A 22,615-nucleotide genomic window follows, 5' to 3' on the forward strand; every position below is an offset into this window, starting at 1 on the left:
TTTGATTGATGAGTTTTGAACCAACTTGCAAACTCCAATGTCTAAAGGGATCAGGTGGGAAAAGAAGTGATTGAAGTGGGCCAGGTAAGGCAGTAGGGAGCAGGGAGGCCTGTGGGATACTAGAGAGGCCTGTATCCAACTAAAGACGGTGGGCTGCACACAGGCGTCTACAGGCCTCCCTTGCACCAGCCTGCACTGCTGGGCTGGACTGATAACCTAGAGCTCAGCAGTGAATGTGACCTTCCTGTTGCAGGGTGTCTGTATTGCTTTCTAATATGCCAGGGCCAAATGTGGCTGCCTGAAGACACTTCAGTGGGCCCACTGTAAGGTACACTTTGCTCCTGTCTCTAGGAGAAACTCCCACCCTTGTCATCCTTTCCAGGGATGCCGGGGGAGGGAAGCAGATGGTAACTGTGTATACCCGTTTCTTCCCTTGTATTATTCCTTTGACAGATAACAGCACATGTGACTGAAAAGGGAATTCGTGCCAGACATAAGAGAAGTATAATTGGTGTCAGACCATGACATTATCCCCCTCATTAGATTATTTTTGCATTCCATTAACACTGGAGATTACCAAAAGAGGGAAGAAATCAGAAAGCCAGATATTCAAATAAAGACTTTACTTGAAAATGCATTTTTAAAAATTTAGCTGAAATTAGCCTCCCTGCCTGCATAAATGCTTTACTCTAAGTGATAAGATTCCTAGGAATATCCCAGGGCTACATTTAGTAGAATTAACTGATAGAAACTGTGTCGGAATATTATGCTTTAACCATTACCTGAATAAATAAATGCTGGAACATCATAAGATTAAGTTTAATGACTGAGGAGATTTTTGTTGAACATTAGAATATAGACTTAATTTCATGATTTATTAATGATTTTGAGACTTTGGATTGTTGAGGGTATGGAGAATTGATGATTAGGCTCACAATTTCTTTTCCATAGATTTTTCTTTTCCTTATGAATGTTTGAACAACACATTAACTTGGGATCATGTTAGGATGCAAATAAGTGTTCATCGGTGCATTTAGTTAACCTTTCATGATCTTCAAAATATTTTTGTAGGTTATGATATTTTTGTATAAATATTTTAAAGCTGTCTATGCCAGAAGCATATGTATGATTTCTCTCTGTCAAATGGCAGTTCCAGGTGGTGACTAGCAGTTTTAGAGATTTGTATGTTATAGTCAGCCATGGTATAAGTCAAAGAAGTTTTTTTACTTCTTGGTTACCATGTTAACTCGAGTTACCTTTTCTAGTTCCTTGTTCTTCTGTTTGCGTTACACTTTGCCGTATTTCTGGTTTTTCCTAGAGAGAGCTAGTTCTCCCCAAATTTGGGAGCATGCCCTAGAAGTTCATGTGACTTTGCTTTATGCAATTTCTGCTCTATAAAGATGCAAGCACATCACTTTCTCATCAAATATTATTGCCTAATTGGAAGATTATGAGATTTCAGTGGCAACCAAATGCCCCGCAAAATGTTAGCTGTGTATTTAAATGTGTGTTTTTTCATTGGTAATGCAAAAACTACTAATCCTCAATCTAAAGCTATATGGATCTACTTGTTTAAGTTTTGTGTTTATGGGACTATAACCAAATATCAGTTAAAGCACCTCAAATGTGTCAACCTCAGCTCTGCCTCTTTCTAGCCAGGGGAACTAGGGCAAATAACTGGGCTCTGAGTATCAGTTTCGATAATGGGAAAATGGGGATAATAATATTTTCATTAGAGGATTATAGTGATAGTGAAGGAGAAAAGTGTAGGAAGTAATCTCACAATATTAGGTCTTCAGTACACGTGGTTTCTCTATGGATATCTGTATCATTTCATCACTATGCCTCTACAGATGGTCTTTAATTTTATGAGATAAAGTTCAAGTCGATTTAGAATTTGCCTTTCTAAGCAACTTGGGGTTGTATACTACCAACAAAAGTTATCGCAAATATGGGTTGACATAAAAACATAAAAATGTCTGGAACAAAACCAACCTCAGAACAAAGCCTGGAAGTCATATGAGGACACTGCTATCCCTGCCCTTCCCTGAGCTTTTTCTGTCAAGGAATTCCTCTTTCTTTTGTGTTAAGAAAAAAAAAACAAAAAACAAAAAACAAAACCTCATTGGCCCGGCATGGTGGCTCACGCCTGCAATCCCAGCACTTTGGGAGTTCGAGGCTGGCAGATCATTTAAAGTCAGGAGTTCGAGACCAGCCTGGCCAACATGGTGAAACCCCATCTCTACTAAAAATGTAAAAATTAGCTGGGCATGGTGGTGGGCACCTGCAGTCACATCTACTCAGGAGGCTGAGGCAGGAAAATCTCTTGAGCCTGGGAGGTGGAGGTTGCAATGAGCTGAGATTGTGCCACTGTACTCCAGCCTGGGCGACAGGGCAAGACTCTGTCTCGAAACAAACAAAAAAACCCCACAAAAAACCACGTCGTTAATATGGGGCACACTCATTAAGAATTTTTAGTAATTCAGAGAGGAATTAGGGTGGGATTAACTGTTGGGGGACATCGTATGAGATTTGTCGAGCAAATTAATCACAAAATCCAGTTTAGAGGCAATGAATGTTTGAATTACCTAAGGAAAAAAAATTTGCGCAGTAGTTCAGAAGGTTTATTTATATAAAAAATTAGATATGCTAATTTAAAAAATGTTAAATTGTATCCTTTTTTATTGGTTCTCATTATACCAATCAACTTTATTGGGGTATCATTTACATACGAGTCACTGTATCCATTTAAATGGACACTTCAGTGATGAACGTGAGAGAATCATACCCTTAAAGCCACCACCACTGTCAAGAGACAGAAAATTTCCATGCCACTCAAGACCCCTTCGACCCCTTCAAAGTCTTCTCTTCCTCATTCATGACCCTAGTCAACCAGTGACCTACTTTACTTATGAGAGATTATTTTATATTTTATAAAATATCATATAAATTGACTTATATAGTATGTACCTTTTGTGTCTGGCTTATTTCACTCATCATTATTTTGACATTCATCCATGTAGCATGTCTCAGTGGTTCATTCCTTTTTATTGCTGAGTAGTATTCCATTATTTTATGAATATTCCTCATGTTTTAAACTTTTGTATTTATAGACACTTGGGTGGTGCCCAGTTGGCGGACTCTATCGAGTGAAGTTGCTGTGAACGTTCACGTACAGGTCTTTGTGTGCATGCATGTTTGAGTAAAGACCTAGGAGTGGAATGAATGGGTCATATGGTAGATGTTGCGTTCAACTTTTTAATAAACCGTCTGACAGTTTTCCAAAGTGGTTGTACCGTTTTGCTTTTTTTTTTTTTTTTTTTGGCCAGCGGTATGTGTCAGTTCCTGTTGCTCTACATTCTTGCTAGCCCTTGAGATTTTCACTTTTAGCCATTCTAATGGGGTGTAGTGATATCACAGGGTGGTTTTAATTTGCATGTCTCGATGATGAATCATGTTGATCATTTTTTTATGCCCCGATTGGCCACTTGTATATCTTCTTTTATGAAGTGTCTGTTCAGATCTTTCGCTCAATCTTTATTGGATTATCATCACATTCTTGGGTTGAAAGTGTTCTTTATATAGTCCATACTTTGTCAGATACATGTAATATGAATATTTTCTTCCATTTTGTAGCTTGTGTTGCTGTTTTTTTAATGGCACCTTTTAAAAAAATTCATGGAAATCTGATTTACATACTACACAATTCACCCATAAAGTGTACAATGAAATTTTTTTTTTTTTGAGACGGATTCTCACTCTTTTGCCCAGGCGGAGTGCAATGGCGTGATCTTGGCTCACTGCAACCTCTGCCTCCCGGGTTCAAGCGATTCTCCTAGCTCAGCCTCCAGAGTAGCTGGGATTGTGGGCACCTGCCACCATGCCCAGCTATTTTTTGTATTTTTTAGTAGAGATGGGGTTTCACCTTGTTGGTCAGGCTGGTCTTGAACTCCTGACCTCAGGTGATCCACCCACCTCAGCTTCCCAAAGTGCTGGGATTACAGGTGTGAGCCACCGTGCCCAGCCCGAAATGTTTTTTGTTATAGTCACAAGGTTATGCATCCATCACTACAACCTAATTTTAGGACATTTTTGTCCCTCTAAAAGAAACCCTGTACTCATTAGCAATCACTGTCAATTCCTCCCTCCCTTAGTCTCTTGCAACTACTTATCTTTGGTCCCTATGGATTTGCCTGTTTTAGACTTTTCATATGAATGGAATTATACAACATGTGATCTTTCGTGACTAGATTCTCTCTCTCAGCTTATTGATTACAAGATTAATCCATATTGTATCATGTATCAGTACTTCATTCCTTTTTATTACCAAATAATATTTTATTATCTGGATATATCACATTTTGTTTCTCTGTTTTTCAGTTGATGGACATTTAGGTTGTCTCACTTTTTGGCTAATATGAATAATGATGCAGGCATTTTCATGTACAGCTTCTTTTGTGGACTTGCTTTCATTTCCCTTGGGTATATACCTAGGAGTGAAATTGCCGGGTCGAATGATAGCTCTTTTTTTTTTTTTAACATTTTGAGAACTCATCAAACTATTTTCCAAAATGACTGTACCATTTTACAATCCCATGAGCAACGTATGGGGATTCCAACTTCTCTACATCCTTATTAACACTTACTCTCTGTCTTTTTGACGATAGCCATCCTGTGGGTGTGAAGTGGCATCTCAAGATTTCGGTTTGTATTTTCCTGATAACTAACGATTTTGAACATCTTTTCCCATGTTAGCCACTTACATATCTTCTTTGGAGATATGTATATATATATATATGGAGATATATATATACACGTATACACACACACATATATATATTAAAATCCTTTATCCTTTGTAAAATTAATTTGTCTTTTATTGTTGTAAGACTGCTTTATATATTTTATATACAAATATCTTACCAGACATGATTTGCAAATGTATTCCCCTATTCTGTAGATTGTCTTTCTACTTTCTTGATAGTTTCATTTACAGCACAAAAGTTTTTTAACTTTGAGTTGGTCTGCTTTATTTTTTCTTTTGTTGCTTATGTTTTTGGTGTTATACTAAGAAGTTATCACCTAATTCTTTTTTTTTTTTTTTTTTTTTTAAGATGGAGTCTCAGTCTGTCGCCCAGGCTGGAGTGCAGTGGCGTGATCTTGGCTCACTGCAAGCTGTGCCTCTCCGGTTCATGCCATTCTCCTGCCCCAGCCTCCCGAGTAGCTGGGACTACAGGCACCCGCCACCACGCCTGGCTAATTTTTTGTATTTTTAGTAGAGATGGGGTTTCACCATGTTGGCCAGGATGGTCTTGATCTCCTGACCTCGTGATCTGCCTGCCGCGGCCTCCCAAAATGCTGGGATTACAAGCGTGAGCCACCTCGCCGGGCCACTGTCACCTAATTCTTAATGGTACCTTTTGAATAAGGAAAGTTTTAGTGGGGATGATGTTCATTTTTTTTAATGGCTTGTGCTTTTTGTGTCCTGTGTTAAAAGTCTTTACCTATGCAAATAATGTTTTCCTCTGGACGTTACATAATTTTAGCTTTTGCCTTCTTTTTTTGAGATGGTGTCTCACTCTGTCGCCGAGGCCTGAGTACAGTGGTGCAATCTCGGCTCACTGCAACCTCTGCCTCCCGGGTTCAAGTGAGTCTCCTGCCTCAGCTTCCCAAGTAGCTGGGATTACAGGCATGCACCACCACGCCTAGATAATTTTTTTGTATTTTTCGTAGAGACAGGGTTTCACCATGTTGGCCAGGCTGGTCCTGAACTCCTGACCTCAAGTGATCCACCCACCTCAGCCTCCCAAGGTGCTGGGATTACAGACGTGAGCCACTGTGCCGGGTCAGCTTTTCTACCTAGGTATATTTCATGATCAATTTCAGGTTAATTTTATATATATAGTATGAAGTAATGACAATATTCATTTTTGTCATAGGGCTATCCAGTTTTCAGCATCATTTGTTGTAAGTTCTCCAACTTTAGTTTTTTTATTTATTTGTTTTTTCCTTAAAATAGCTTTGGCTATTCTAGAGTATTTGTATTTTCATGTAAGTTTTAGAATAGGCTTGCCTTTTTTTTTTTTTTTTTTTAGTCAGAGTTTTGCTTTATTGTCCAGGCTCTGATGCAGTGGCACGATATTGGCTCACTGCAACTTCCGCCTCCCGGGTTCAAGCAATTCTTGTGCCTCAGCCTCCTGAGTAGCTGGGATTACAGGTGCCCAGGTCATTTTCTATAGTTGAGTACAGGTTTGGTTTCACCATCTTGCCCAGGCTGGTCTCGAATGCCTGAGCTCAGGCAATCCTCCTGTCTCGGCCTCCCAAAGTGCTAAGATTATAGGTGTGAGCCACCGTGCCCGGCTGCCTTTTTTAATGCTTGTGGGAATTTTGTTTGAGCTTACGTTGAATCTGTTTACCAATTTGAGGACAATTGACAGCTTAAAACATGTAGCCTTTTGATTAATAAACGTAAGTGTTTTCATTTTATTTAGGTTTTTTATTGCTCTCAGTGACATTTTATAGTTTTCAGGATGTAGGTCTTCATATACTTGTTCAATTTATTCTGAAATATTTTTTATTCTATTTTCAATGGATCTTTATTTCATTTTTCCAGTTGCTTGCTGCTGCTAGCATATAAAAATATAATTGATTTTTGTGCATTAGCCTCTGATCTTGCTAAACTCACTTACTAGTTCCAGTGTTGTTTTGTGGATTTCTTACCATTTTCTATCTCAATAATCATGTCGTCTGAAATTTACATTAATTCTAGTTAGTCCCTGAAGGAATCCTATTTGGTAAAACTTTGATAGTTTAGTTCTAAGTATTAGGTGTATTTTAATAGCATAATAATATGTCTTAAAATATTTTGTGTTAGACATTTTGAAAATTCAAATTAGCCTCTCTTATTCCCTTTTTGCCTCCATTAGTTATCCAAATGAGTATAAAAAGAAAAAAGCAATGACAGAAAGCCCTGGATATATCAGAATTAACACTACTGGGAAAGTCTGTGGTTTGGTTTGAGGATTTTGTAGCCTGTATTATTTTTGGTTGTTGTATTTTTTGTTTTTGTTTGGCAAGGCTCAGTGGTTTACGCTCCTGAGAATCCATCTGTTTTTCTTTTTTTATTAAATTTTTTTTTCAGTAGTTGGGCTCTCTCTCTGTCACCCAGGCTGGAGGGCACTGGCGTGATCATATATCACTGCAGCCTCCAACTCCTGGGCTCAAGCGATTCTTCCACCTTAGCATCCTGAGTAGCTGGGACTGCAGGCATGTGCCACCATGCCTGGCTAATTACTTTTACTTTTGTAGAGATGGGTCTTGCTGTGTTGTCCAGGCTGATCTCAAACCCCTGACCTCAAGCAATCCTCCCAGTCTCCCAAAGTGTTGGGATATGTGAGCCACTGCTCCTGGCCCCCATCTTTTCTGTCTGGGTCAGTGAGAAAGTGGAAAGAGTTTTTGTTTTTATTTTGTTTTTGTTTGACTAAAGAGCTAAGAAAGTCTTTAGCTTCTAAATATATGAGGAGGATCTAAAACACAACATTTTGGAGGACTGTATTTTACAATGTTTGTGCCTCGGAAAGTTTTAGTTTCCTAGGAAACAGCATCGTGGGCACTGAGATACAACAGGGGATGCTCAGCACCTTAATATTATTACCTGTCTAATTGCTATTTCAATTCTGAGTATTGCAGTAGATTTGTTCCTGTACTGCTGCAGCAAGAGTCTTAATTGTTTCCAGGAGTCTATATTTAAATTTTATTTGGGTTTTTGGAAAAATGCTTTTTTTTTTTTTTTTTTCAGAATTCTGTTTTTGGAACATTCTGCTTTAGATAGTAGGAAGTCATTATGACATAGGGAGAAGTGATAGATGGAAAGTCAGTTCGTTTGGAATTTATTTCTCATCTGACTTGACTTGTAGAATATTAATCCAGGGTCAGGCGCGGTGGCTCACGCCTGTAATCCCAGCACTTTGGGAGGCTGAGGCGGGTGGATCACGAGGTCAGGAGTTCAAGACTAGCCTGGCCAAGATGGTGAAACCCCGTCTCTACTAAAAATACAAAAATTAGCTCGGTGTGATGGCAGGTGCCTGTAATCCCAGCTACTCAGGAGGCTGAGGCAGGGAATTGCTTAAACCTGGGAGGTGGAGGTTGCAGTAAGCTGAGATCACACCACTGCACTCCAGCCTGGGCGACAGAGCGAGACTCCATCTCAAAAAAAAAAAAAAAAAAAAGAACATTAGTCCATATATTCGGAGATAAGAAAGGACACTGCCTCAACTCCTCCCCCTTTACAAGTGTAACAACTTAGGAAGTAAAATAAACTTCAGGCTGATACAATGCAAAGGATAAATCAGAAATATTTTTAAAAAGAAATAGATTATATTGCTGTGGAATAAGAACATATTTCCAGTAAGACTTCTATTTCCATATGTGGGTAACTCCTCAATTTGTATCTCCAGCCTGGAGCCCTGTCCAGAACTCTAAGCTTGTATATCCAACTGTCTTCTCAGCAGTTCCATTTGGCCAGGTAATAAGCATCACTCACATACCAGATCCAAAATAAACTCTTGAATTTTCCACAAAATCTGCTTCTCCTGCTGTCTATCTCATCTTAGCAAATGGCAACTCCATTCTTCCAGTTGCCCAGGCCAAAAATCTGGAGTCATCCTTGACTTATCCTTTTCTCTTATACCCAACAATCCCATCCCTTGGCAAATCCTGTGGCCACCAGCTTCAGAATTTACAACAAACACAACCACTTTTCCTCGTCTCTATACCTACCACTCTTTTCCAAACCACCATATAAAACATCTTTCTTCCCCCAGTCCTACCCCACTGTGCTGTTCTTTTTTAGTGTGTTAGTCAGATCTTATCACGCCTTTGTTGAAAAACTCCCATTGGCTTCTCATCTTCGAGTCAAAGACAAAGTCATTATGGTGGCCTCCAGGGACCTATGTGTCCTGGCTCCTGGAAACCTCTCTGACTTCCTGTCCCACCTTTCTTTCGTTCAGCTGCAGCCTGTCTGGCTTCCTTGCAATTCCTCAAACATACCAGGCCAGTACTGCCACAGGGCCCTTGTTTCTGATATTCTTTCTGCTGGAATCGCTTATCTTTTTTTATGTTTTGTTTGTTTGTTTGTTTGTTTGTTTTGAGAAGGAGTTTTGCTCTTGTTGCCCAGGCTGGAGTGCAATGGCGCGATCTCGGCTCACCACAACCTCTGCCTCCCGGGTTCAAGCGATTCTCCTGTCTCAGCCTCCTGAGTAGCTGGGATTACAGGCACCTGCCACTACGCCTGGCTAATTTTTGGTGTTTTTAGTAGAGACAGGGTTTCACCGTGTTGGCCTGGCTGGTCTCTAATTCCTGACCTCAGGTGATCCTCTTGCCTCTACCTCCCAGAGTGCTGGGATTACAGGCGTTAGCCACCACGCCCAGCCAGAATCACTTATCTTAATGCTATCATGGAATAACGGAAATATGAGAATTTCTGCCAAATGTCACCTGTTCACTGACATATACCCCAAGCTCTCCTGTATAAAATAGCAACTCCCGCCACCACCTCGTGACACACATACATTAATTCCTTATCCCTCTCCCCAACTTTCTTTCTCTCTGTAGCACTTGTCACCATCAGAAAAGTTGTCTCTGCCTGTTGTCTGCTGGAACAGTGCTTTCACGTTATGCTAGGCGCTTAACAAATGCTTAACTGATATGATCACCTGGGAATGTAATAATGGTTAGCATATCTCTTTACTCATTTAGTCCTTACAGTAAACTCAGGAGTTACTGTGATCCCAGTTTTCAATGAGGAACCTGAGCAGAGAGGTTGGATCATTTACCCAAATCAGTGAGCAACCCAGTGTATGCCCTTGACCAGCCTAATATGATACACTGATAGCATTTTCTAGGAAAAAAAGAACTTCGTAGGTACCATTAATGTGAATGGTTCAGTTTACCTGGAAAATGATATTCGTTATGATTCAAGAAGTATTTAAAAAGCAGAGCTCACCAGAAAATATCCTATATTTTGTGGTGGTTTGTGAGGGGGAGTAAAGTTTACTCAGCAGTATCACAGGAATTCACTAGAACAATCTTGTTCCATTTACTACAATCATTATGTTTATTTCTTATATAATTTTTTACCAATGTTGTGAGTTTTTTACCAGTGTTGTGATTTCCTGCTGAGCTTGAAAAGCTAAGGACAAAACACCCATTCTTTAAAGAATATTAATTTGGTTCCTGGTACCCCCAAGGCATGAAAATAGATCAGCCTCCAAGAGAAAATATGGTCTCTGTACTCTGTTGTCTTGTGCAGTAAGCTGTTTGCACAGTTCCCTGTTTGTGGGGGTCACCGCTGTTAGCTGTCGTGTGGATATTGTATTCATAATTCATAGTCTGTGTTCCCAGAAACAGTTTTAATTAGAACACAAATTATGACTCCCAATAGAAAGCCTTCTGTAAGTAGCCAAGCATAATAACGAAGAAAAAAATGTTTCCGAATATGACACCTTAATATATTTATATATAAATTACCAAAATCTTATCTTTGTTCACAGCAGATACTAATTGAACACCTAACAGGCCTGTGGTTTCTGCTGTTTAGCATTGCGGGGGTGGGAAGGGGCTTGGGGGATACAGACAAGACACAATCGATGCTCCTCAGTAGTGCTCCTTATAGAGAGGAGAGATTATAACCCTCGGAGGTTGCTTTCGTGAGGACAGTGCAGGGCACTCTGGGAGGAGACACCTTAAATGGAGGGTGATTAAGAGTCAGCCAGATGGAGGTGCTGCCACGAGATAGGTAGCTGGGCTCCAGGCAGAAGGGCAGGTACCACTAGAAGGGTTAGGGAGCCTGGGAGGGAAGAAGAGTCTGTGAGGGGCTCAGTCTATGAGGGGCTTTGTCTGAGAGGAGGGCTGAGTCTATGAGGGACTTTGTAAGGAGAGCTCAGTCTGTGAGGGTTTGGTCTGTGAGGGATTTAATCCATGAGTGGTTTTGTCCTGTAGGAGTTCAGTCTGGCTGGGGTCAGTGGTAATGTGACATCTTGGTGGGAGTTATGGCTGGAGATGCCAGCAGAAGCTAACTCAATACCTCTGGTTGCTACTGCTGCTGCTTTGTCCTTCTCCGGACTAACGATTGAATATGCTTTGTTCTTTATTTTTTCTGCCACTGGAAAACCTGCTGATACATAAAAGATTTAGAGAGTTAAGAAGATAAAGAAAAAAAAAGGCATAATCTGGAGCCAGTCTTACTAGGTTCAACTGTATGAAGTTGCCAGTACATAATCATGTTTTTCAAGGTCTTCTTTTTTAATGTAAGCATTTATAGCTATAAATTTTCCTCTTAGCACTGCTTTTGTAGCATTCCATACATTTTGGTATGTTGTGTTTTTATTTATCTTAAGATATTTTCCCTTGTGATTTCTTCTTTGACCCAGTGGTTGTTTAATAGTATGTTAATTTCTGTCTGTCCCTGAATTGTTTAGTTTTCCTTCTACAGTTGATTTCTAGTTTCCTTTTATTGTGATTGGAAAGATACTTTGTATGATTTCAGTCTTTTAAATTTTATTGACACTATTTTGTGGCCTAACATATGGTCTACCCTGGAGAATATTCCACACGAACTTGAGAACAATGTGTATTTTCCTGTTGTTGGATGAAGTGCTCTGCATATATCTGTTAGGTCCAGTTGTTCTCCAGTGTCATGCAGGTCTTCTGCTTCCTCACTGGTCTTATGTTTGGTTGTTCCATCCATTATTGAAAGTGGGGTATTGAAGTCTTGTAGAGCTATTTCTCCCTTCAGTTCTGTTGATGTCTGCTTCATATATTTTGGAGCGCCAATGTTTGGTGCATGTATGGTTATATTTGTTACGTCTACTTGGTGAATTAACACTTTTATCATTATATAATATCCTTCCTTGTCTCTTATAACAGTTTTTGACTTTTTATAATCATGTTTTTAATCCAATAATTTTTTTTTTGAGACAGAGTCTCACACTGTCACCCAGGCTGCATCTTGGCTTGCTGCAACCTCCGCCTCCCAGGTTCGAGTGATTCTCCTGCCTCAGACTCTCGAGTAGCTGAGATTACAAGCATGCACCATCATGCCCAGCTAATTTTTGTATTTTTAGTAGAGACAGGGTTTCACCATGTTGGCCAGGTTGGTCTCGAACTGCTGACCTCGTGATCTGCCTGCCTCAGTCTCCCAAAGTGCTGGGATTACAGATGTGAGCCACCGCACCCGGTCCAATAATTTTTGACTTAAACATTTTCACACTACTTTTCTAAATACCATCTTACGCATTTTAGCCAATATGAGTGACAGTCAACATCTTTCATCAAATATCTAATAAGTTCTTTAAGTATGTACAGTTTAAAAATTCCATACATTATATGAACAATTGTAACCTTTTTGAAAAGTTAGATCTGGTCGCTAATACTCAAATTTAAGAAGTCATAGAAAGTACATTAAGAGTCTGTTCATCCTTAGAATATAAAGCATCAATTTCAGAAACTATCCGTTTATTTACTTATACATTTATTTGATTTAAGGATATATGTAATGTCACAAAGTCAGTAAGATGGGGCTAGTAAAATATATTAAAAAAATACGGATAGTATCACCATGGACTTCATTGCTTCTGACTCCCTAGTAGATAAAAACTTGGGGCTTATAAAAAGAGCACCTACACACGAATAAATTTCAGAATATATCAGATTAGGCATTCTAGTTTGAGATGTGCTTGAGTTGCATTTCTGTTTGATGACTTATTAAAGAAACAGCACTCTGCCCCAACCAAACTAATTTCCTCATGCCCTGCAAGTGCAGTGTATCCATTCCTGCTTTGGGTTTTCTCTCATGTCTCCCAATTTCCATAATGCTCCTTCTATTCCTTTCAGTCATCTAGAATCTCTCTTTTCTTTTGCAGCACCACGACGGACTAAATCCCTCATAATCCGACCCAGGCTTCTGAATACCCATCTGCCTGGAGCACAGTCCCGCCCAGCACCCGGGCATATCCCCCTGGCTAATTCTCCATCATCCTCTCCTCAAGGGTGTCTGCTCCACCAGGGCTTTCCCTGTGATACCAAAGCATGCTGCATAATCCCCAAGGAAAGCAATCATTGCGAGTTACAGTGGCTCCTCTCTAAAATGTAAGCTACACATCCTCTCTCATCCCAGAAGCCCCAGCCACAGAAATTTTCTCTTTCCTAAAATTCTGTAACATCTTAAATCTGTACTAATCATTACACATCATCATATTCATTCATTCACTCAACAAGTATTTATGGAGTCCCCACCATGGGAGAGATGAGGCTAGAGGTGTAAACTTCCTAGTGTTCCCGTTTGGAAGATTTTTGCCAGGCACCTGGAAAGAGATTTGGGGGAGATCTTGCAGAGTTTATATAGGAAATTAATTTAGGAATGTTGTTAATTGGTAAGAGCATTGAATGGACTGGAGTAGAGAGCCACAGAGTCTAGGCTTCCATTTGCTTCTCATGAGGTCTATGATAGCTCAGCGCCTGGTCTCTCTGGGTCTACCCAAAAAGTAGAGGGTTTTTAGTTGTTGTTTGTTTGTTTTAAATAGGCCTAAGGTTTCAGGTCTAAAATTCTGTGGTCTCGTGTTGTTGTTGTCCCCATTTTCTGAGTGTTAATCTCCATGAAACAAGCACAGATGTTAGAAATCCAGTTGTGTTTGCTGTTTGCTAGCAAAGTCTGTTTCCTGAGATGATATTTCCAAAACCGGATCTCATCTCTTTGAATCCTTGGAGGTTTATGAATAACGCATGTTGGTGATGATGCTGGCGTGGCAGCCCCAATGAATGTATGAAATTTGATGTTTCCCACGAGGAAGAAGGGGAGTGGCTGGGATTATTGAAAGGCTCTCTGGTTCTGGGTTTGAAGGAAGCATTTAGAATTCTGCTAGATCCCCTTTTGCTACATCCGGATGATTAATTTTACATCCTAAATCCTTGCTCGTGATTGCTTGCACCCAGGAATTCAAGGTTACAGTGAGCTATGATGGCACCACTTCATTCCAGCCTGGGTGACAGAGTGAGACCATGTCTCAAAAAAAAAAAAAAAAATCTTTACTCCACTGTAGCTCAGGCCTCACGCTCTGTTCCTGGCCTGCCTTCCTTGTTTCTGCCCCTCCTGACCTCTGACCACTTAACTTTCTTACATTGACGGCTTTGGTGGTCGACTCATAGATTTCAGCTCCTTCCCCAGCTCTGCAGCCAGGAGGATCACTATGTCAGTGTCCACAGGACAACCCACATCATAACCTCCTGTGTCCTTGACCATTTTCTCTCCTAAAACTCCGTGGTTAAGCAGCACAGCCCCACGGCCACGCTCTAGAGTGGTGTTCCCCAGAGCTGCTACGGCTCTATCATCCTGATCGCCACCACTCCGTGTCTGCCCTCAGCCTTGTTGACAACAACCCCTTAATTTCTTATTTTGATGCTTGTTCTCTGATGCTTTGAGAACTGCTAGTGCCTGCCCCAATCCTGGGCTTCCCTATCTAGCCAAATCCCTTCCAGCCTCCCCATGATCACTCTCCTGCTGGCATGGTTCCTTCTTTGCCTGCTGCATTCACTCTGCAGATGCAACACCTGACCGCAGCGCAGCTGCCTGCAGCCTCCGCTCCTGCAGCAGGGCTGCTGGGTCCCGTGGAGGAAACCACATTGTCGGATGAGTGGCAGCTGCTGAAAACTGAATGAAATGAAATCTCAGCCCATTCCTCAGCAGCATTCTGCTCTCTTCTGCTGTGGTCCTAGTTAGATGTTCTTTTCTCTTTTATTTCATTTATTCCAAATATTTATTATGCATTCTAAGCTAACTGCCCCATAGTCTTTGAAGAAGTACACTGGAAGTCAGTTTAGGCAGACTAACATGGTATCAAACTTATTTGTCAACAAATACCCCATATTTTGGTATGTTGGTTAAAAAACAGTTGGAAATCTTTAATCAAAGTATTCAGCAAATTAAATGCCCCAAACAGTACATTTTGAAGTTTGTAGCAAATAGTAATTATTGAAAACAAAACTTGAAATATATTCCTACAAAAGAAAGAAAGAAAACAAATTAAATGATGAGAGCTTAAATGATGTATAAGAGTTAGTTGGCTGGGTGCGGTGGCTCACGCCTGTAATCCCAGCACTTTGGGAGGCCCAGGTGGGCAGATCACGAGGTCAGGAGATCGAGACCATCCTGGCTAACACGGTGAAACCCCGTCTCTACTAAAAAATACAAAACATTAGGCAGGCGTGGTGTTGGGTGCCTGTAGTCCCAACTACTCAGGAGGCTGAGGCAGGAGAATGGCGTGAACCCGGGAGGCGGAGCTTGCAGTGAGCCGAGATCGCGTCACTGCACTCCAGCCTGGGCGACAGAGTGAGACTCCATCTCAAAAACAAAACAAAACAAAACAAAAAAAAGTTAGTTTTGACATTCTGTGATTGTGTCTTCTGGAAAGTGTCTTTGTGGCGCCCCTATTTTTAATTGGATAATTGTATATCTGTACAGCAATGGAAAGAGATTGAAAAGGCTGATTATTTTGCAGTATCCAAATTTGGGGAAATATTAAATCATTAATTGGAGAAGGTTTATGTTATAAAATTATTTACTTGTCAAAAGGTAGCAAAATAATCATACCTATAAAAATATTTTGAAGGCTGAACTACTTATATACTTGGATTAAAAATTTACAATTCAGAATTTGCTCATTTAGCAAGATTTGCTGTGAATATAGATATTGCAGCAGTTGTAGAGAGAGTATTTTCCAAGTTAAAAATATTATGATCAGTAGAAAAGAATCAATTGAAGAAGGTGTGGACAATTTAAAACTTAGTAATCATCAAATGCAACTTTGAAGAAGACTGAAGACAGTTTTATGAAAAAATAAAAATAATACATGTTAAAAAATGAATTTCCCAGATACGGGTTTAGAAACATATAAATTAAAAATTTGATTGGCCAAAACTAACTATTCTGCTTATGTTATTTTCTGATATTTACTTAGTCAACACAAAGAAGTTAAATTTTTTTTTGCTTTAACAGAAAGTTATTTTAATCTTTGGAAAATTTCTATTTTTAAAAATAGTGATTAAGTAAGATTCTTTTTTTTTTTGGAGATGGAGTGTCTCTATCTCCTAGGCTGGAATGCAATGGTGCAATCTCGGCTCACTGCAACCTCTGCCTCCCAGGTTCAGGCGATTCTCCTGCCTCAGCCTCCCGAGTAGCTGGGATTACAGGTGCATGCCACCTCACCCAGCTAATTTTTTTTTTTTTTTTGAGATGGAGTCTCGCTTTGTTGCCCAGGCTGGAGTGCGGTGGCGTGATCTCAGCTCACCACAACCTCCGCCTCCCCAGTTGAAGTGTTTCTCTTGCCTCAGCCTCCCGAGTAGCTGGGACTACAGGTGCGCACCACCACGCCCAGCTGATTTTTGTATTTTTAGTAGAGATGGGGTTTCGCCATATTGGCCAAGCTGGTCTCAAACTCCTGACTTAGGTGATTCGCCCTCCTTGGTCTCCCAAAGTGCTAGGATTACAGGTGTAAGCCACTGCACCTGGCCATAAAATTCTTTTTATAAGCCTACCAATATGATAAAAACCAATTTATCAATTCATAAATTAAAATTTTAGATATATGGTGCTAACTTCAGTGGCACTTTTTACTCTCAAGATGGACCGATGGATAATGTTACACTTGTTCTGTGATAGCCCTTCCTGTCTTTTTTCACTGTGCTCCTTATGTGGTTTTTATCATGATTTATTTTGCTCTCATTTAGTCTGTCTCTTCTGACTATGAGCTTCTTGAAAACAGGATCATTGTTTTAGTAATTTCGCATCCTTAAGGCCGAAGATGCACAATGCCTGGTACATAATAGGTTCATAATAAATTATGAAGTAAATGAATTTAGGAATCCAGGTGTGTGTGTGTGTGTGTGTGTGTGTGTGTGTGTGTGTGTGTAACATGGACTAATCTATAAGTACAATTTTTAAATTCAACATTATACCTTTATTTTCATCAACCCCTCCAATAACCACTTATTCAGACCCCTAGTGACTAAGCAAATGAGACTGAAAACATTTCAGGGCAACTAGACATGTTATTTTTCACTCATCATAGATGCATGAGTGCACTCTGAAAATGATGAGGTTTCATTGCATACAAATGTGACATTTAATGTCGTTAAAACATACAAATTAGGCCGTAAGGAATAGCAAAAATGAAGGACAGGGTATTTCTTGTCTTTGAGAGTAGTGATGTGTACAGACATCACTAGTATACACTTGCTACAGAGCCCAGCGGCCAGTTTGTGCTGCTTAAGACAAGTCAGAGAGGCCTGTGTGCAGGGACCCGGTTGCAGTGGTGTTTTCTAATAGTTAGCATTTTAAGAAGCTAACATTCTTCCTGGAACAGAGGAGAACTTTGAGTTTTGTGACATTGAGAACTTTGATGTTTTCGGTGGATGGATCAGTGATATCCAACGGCGTCTCTGTAGGGTCAGATGTGCTAAGAAAGGAGAGAAACTGTGTTGGGTCAGAGAAGGGGGTATCTCGGAAGTAGCCACAACCAGGATATTTTCTGCTGAATTATGCCAAGTCGTTTGGAAGAACAGGCTCCAGGTATTTTAGGTTATAAGCCCTTGGTTAGGCTCCTCAAAGAAGATAACTAATTTAAAAAAAAATGTATTCCTCAATATAGTAGAAGATGATCAATTCATGATCTAAATACTAAAAGGCATCCAAATCGTGGGACTGTTTTAACATAATTTTTAAGTGATCACTTATTTTTAAAAAATCACATCACAGTATGAATTGAACAAGTTCCTATAGCCGTGGTTGGTAAAGACAATGTGACTGGTCAGCTTCTTGTGTAAATATATATTATACATCCCTATTTGTAATTCTTGTAATGAAAAGAAAACACTAAGAGAATATATTCAGAAGATGTTGGGAGTTTGGCCAATTTTTTTTTTTATCATGGTGCTATTTATTTAGTGTCAAGATCTTTAAACTCTAGAAACAAAGTTTACTGTATAAAACAGGCAAACATTTATCCAGGGTGGTTCATATATAATGCTCCAACTAGAATTGGAGGAGAACAGCTGCCTCCTGAGAGTTCAACAAGGTCTGTAAGCAGATAATGTTTTTCAAAGGTTCCTAGAGTTAAGCCTTGTTTTCCAAAGGTCTTTAACAACAGCCATTACTGGCTGGGCGCGGTGGCTCACGCCAACACTTTGGGAGGCCGAGGTGGGTGAATCATTTGAGGTCAAGAGTTCGAGACCAGTATGGCCAACATGGTGAAACCCCGTCTGTACTAAAAATACGAAAATTAGCCAGGCGTGGTGGTGCATGCCTGTAGTCCCAGCTACTCGGGAGGCTGAGGCAGGAGAAACACTTGAACCGGAGAGGCGGAGGTTGCAGTGAGCCGAGATCATGCCACTGCACTCCAGCCTGGGCGACAGAACGAGACTCTGTCTCAAAAACGAACAAACAAAAGCAATAGTCATTACTAACTCTGCTGTACTAGAACCTTTAGTGACCTTTAGTTGTAGATAAGTGTTAGAACCATTTGGAAACACCAGATATATCTGAGTTTCTGCATCTTTTACAAGGACTCAGTACTGATGACTGTGCTTCTCAGGTTCAGAAGAGCCACCAGGACTCAATAATAGCTACAGTATTAAGTTGGGTCAAAGATATGCCTTCCTAAGAAGTACGACTTGCTTAGCCAGTAGGAAATTGACCCCAGCCCTTTATAAAGAGCCTGGGCTGTTCATCATCTGTTTCCAGGAATAGTTCTCCAGCTGCTGAATTATGCATATTTTTATTCAGAAAAGTCACCCTAGGCCTTCTCGCTGGTGATTCACTGTCTCCCTGTTCTCAATCATCCTGGGCTGGAGAGATTGAGAGAGAAAGGATGGCATTTTCGAGTGGAAACAAGTCATGGAAGATGAAGGACTGGCGAGCGCCTAGAGACAGACTCTCACTTTCAGAACAGATGAGTGGGCAGTCATGGGAATTTTCGGCTCTTCGGGAAAGTTGTGCCGGAGATTATGAGGATTAGGTGGGACTTCTCTGCCTTTTCTGCTCTGCCCTTCAAGTACATCTTACTTTGTTCCAGCACTTCCAGACTACAGCTGCCCCCTCTGCTATGGCCCAGAGAGCTGATACATTCACTGTGTAGATAAAGACACACAGTTTTCTGGATTAGAATCACAGTGGCTACAGTGAGAGCCTTGAAATGTACACCTACCAGCTGGAACAGCAGTAGTTGCAGGGGTTCATTTTCTTTCTAAGGCTCTTTGCTGCTCACTTTAGCCTGTTTGGAAGTTAACATTGTTCACACATTGACAGTCCCATCATCTGTGCCATATACATATTTAGGAATATGCCCTGGATGAGGTTACTTTGTACGTGTTGATATGGAACGATTGCGAAGATATGATGTTAATGAATAAGTACCATGCATGATGTTGTAGTAGTACATACTTTTTATTTATTTATTTATTTTTTTTGGAGATGGAGTTTCGCTCCTGTTGCCCAGACTAGAGTGCAATGGTGCGATCTCGGCTCACTGCAGCCTCCGCCTCCCAAGTTCAAGCGATTCTCTTACCTCAGTGTCCCAAGTAGCTGGGATTACAGGCACGCACCACCACGTCCAGCTAATTTTTTGTTATTTTTAGTAGAGACAGGGTTTCACCATGTTGGTCGGGCTGGTCTGGAACTCCTGACCTCAAATGATCCACCCACCTCGGCCTCCCAAAGTGCTGGGATTACAGGCATTAGCCACCACACCTGGCCATATATACTTTTATTTATGGCTTAAAACAGAGTTATATAGAAACATATCTGCTTATTTGTACAGGAAGTGTCCGGAGGAATATATAGAAAACTGCTAGGCTTAATTCTCAGAGGGAAGATTGGGTGTTTGGAGTGGGAAGCAAACATTTTTTACTGTATACACTTGTACTATTTGAATTTTTTACCATATTAAAAAAGATTAAACAGGCTCTATTTGTACTTCTTCCCATGGCTTTAAGGCTTAATTATAAAAATCACTTCCCAGATCCATAAAAACCTTTAGTTCCCTCTAGCAGACTGGATCTTTGACTACCAACCTCAAATAGTAATTATTTTCATACCACCAATAATTCTCACAGCAGTGAGAGTCAGTTATCAATATGACAAAAAAATTTCATTTTTCTGGCGCAATCAGAGCGTAAAATCTTCCTCTGTAGAGAGATATGATTGAGAGAAGGAGGTAGGTACAGGGATGTGTAATATACTTGAAATAGGAAGAGACCTGAAGTGGTCCACTCTCAGAACATATTCATTTTTAATATCAGCCTTCGTACTGAGCCCTTAATGACTTGGGTCTTTAATTATCTCACTGAACAATTTATGTTGATTCAGGACCAGCTATTCTCTTTGATTTATTGATACTATGCTCAGAAAAAAAAAAAAATACACAGCATGTTTTGACAAAGTGCCTTTTAACACAATGCCTCCTGCGTTGTGCCCCAAAACCATGTGCCAGAAATTTTTTACATCTGTTTTCTCCCTACTGGGTTTTACATTTGTAGTAGCTGAAAAGGTGCAGTTTGATTCCCGTTACGACTTCAATATATGATTGTGGAATCTCTGTGAGCTGACGAGCTCCTAATTTTGTTGTAATGTGAAGTGGCTGATGGATGGTGGTGATTGGCGTCTAAATTCTAACTAAATTATATTCTCACATGAGCAAATCTTGAAACCAAAGGCACATGATCAAATCATTAAACCAAAGGCATATGTACAGCTCAGAAGTGTCCAAGACAAAGGGTGGAAGGCATCACACTAGGACAGGAGGCATCATTTGCCCCAGTGCAAACAAGAGAGCCATGACTGAAAGCAAAGCCAGATCTCTCAATTCCGGAGACAAATCAAAAAGAGGGGATGCTGAAGTTCACAGCTGTTGCAGGCTACAGTGTCAGGAATTTTCCTCCCCATTGATGAGCTCTAAGGCTGTAATAGATTGTGCTTTCTTGCCAATATACCTCCTGTTCCTTCCTCCCAAGGTTCTCAAGGTCTCAGGAACATCTTGACTCATAAGCCCAAGAACAGCATGTTTCAGTGATCGATAGTCTTTGAGTATAGCCATAAATACAACTGATTAATGATCTGTATGTCTGATGTAGGTGTTAAAGTTAGTTGAAAACAATCGCTGCCTACTAAAAATGGGCATGACACAAAACAGGAGGGAATTAAGGCGAATGAAATATCCATTTAATGCAGGCTCTGCTGACAAAGTATTTCATGTTCTGATTTGTTTAGTAAGGTTAGGCAATATCCTTGTGACATGTGTCATTACCTTTTCCAGTCTACCCTTTAAGGACCTATTTAGTTCTTTCTCCACCTGAAGTCTCTCCTGGGTACTGGGTGAACACGTGGCTTATGGTTACACCTGTGGGGCTGGGTTGGCAAAACTCTGCTTAGTGTGAATGACTGAATCTTAGTGTCGTAGCATCTGGAACATAGTTCTGCTTTCATCCCCAAAAAACTAAATCATTTATTGAAATATGATTAAATACAAACCAATCTAATTACTAACTTCTCTTTAGCCTCTGGAAAAAAAGGTACATATAGGAGAGAAAGATTTAAAGAATTACAAACAGGTCAGTAGAATTTGGGGCCTTAATTTTACCAGTTTTTTTTTCTTGCCATGTTTGCAGAGAAAACTCCTTGTGAACCCTAAGATCCACAAAGGAGGTCGTGACGTTGTGCAGATCCTTCAAGGGCCTAGAATTCCTTTAATTTCCAAAACGCTGGCAGCATTAGTTTAGCCTCAGATGTCTCTAAAATGAGTTACATTCTTTTATTTTTTATTTTTTATTTTTTTTGTGACAGAGTTTCGCTCTTGTCGCCCAGGCTGGAGTGCAATGGCGCGATCTCAGCTCATCGCAACCTCTGCCTGCTGGTTTCAAGAGATTCTCCTGCCTTACCCCCTGAGTAGTTGAGATTACAGGTGCCCTCCACCATGCCCGACTCATTTTTGTATTTTAGTAGAGCCAGGGTTTCACCATGTTGGTCAGGCTGATCTTGAATTCCTGACCTCAGCAGATCCACCTGCCTCGGCCTCCCAAAGTGCCGGGATTATAGGCGTGAGCCACCACGCCCAGCCCATTCTTTCAGATTTTTGAGAAGGTGATTCAGGCTTCTGAGGGAGAAAATATTAAGTTCCCTTCTCTTCAGTCCCATAGAATGCTTAGCAGCGGGAGGATGGTGTTCTACCCATTGCCTTCCTGCTTCATACAACTTGGACTAAACTGAAAGGAAGGACATGATGCTCACTCTGTTGGGGTGACTCTCTGTTGTCTCAGGAGGTTTCCCTAAGCAACCAGCTTGGGGCACCAACTTTAGTCATTTACTCAGTTCTCTCCTCCTGCCCACCCCTGCTCTTTCAAGCAAAGCTGAAACGATATTAATTGGTTAAGTATACTCATTAACTAAACAAACTATACTCTTTAGTAACCTATTTCGCCTGTTAGTAGTTTGACCACCTGCTTCATAAAGAAGTCATGTTTCTCTCTCACCCTCATCCCACATTTAAAATGCATTTGAACAGAAAACTCAGGT

General features: G+C 40.4%; 1 protein-coding gene across 10 annotated transcripts in view; it reads left to right on the forward strand.

Annotated features, from left to right (window-relative positions):
* The window catches only part of CAMK1D (calcium/calmodulin dependent protein kinase ID), a 485,999-nt gene that overhangs the window by 317,276 nt on the left and 146,108 nt on the right, over positions 1 to 22,615 (forward strand). The gene's annotated exons all lie outside the window — the stretch shown is intronic.

The sequence above is a fragment of the Homo sapiens genome, chromosome 10, assembly GCF_000001405.40.
Source record: "Homo sapiens chromosome 10, GRCh38.p14 Primary Assembly".
In the NCBI taxonomy this organism is placed as follows: domain Eukaryota; kingdom Metazoa; phylum Chordata; class Mammalia; order Primates; family Hominidae; genus Homo; species Homo sapiens.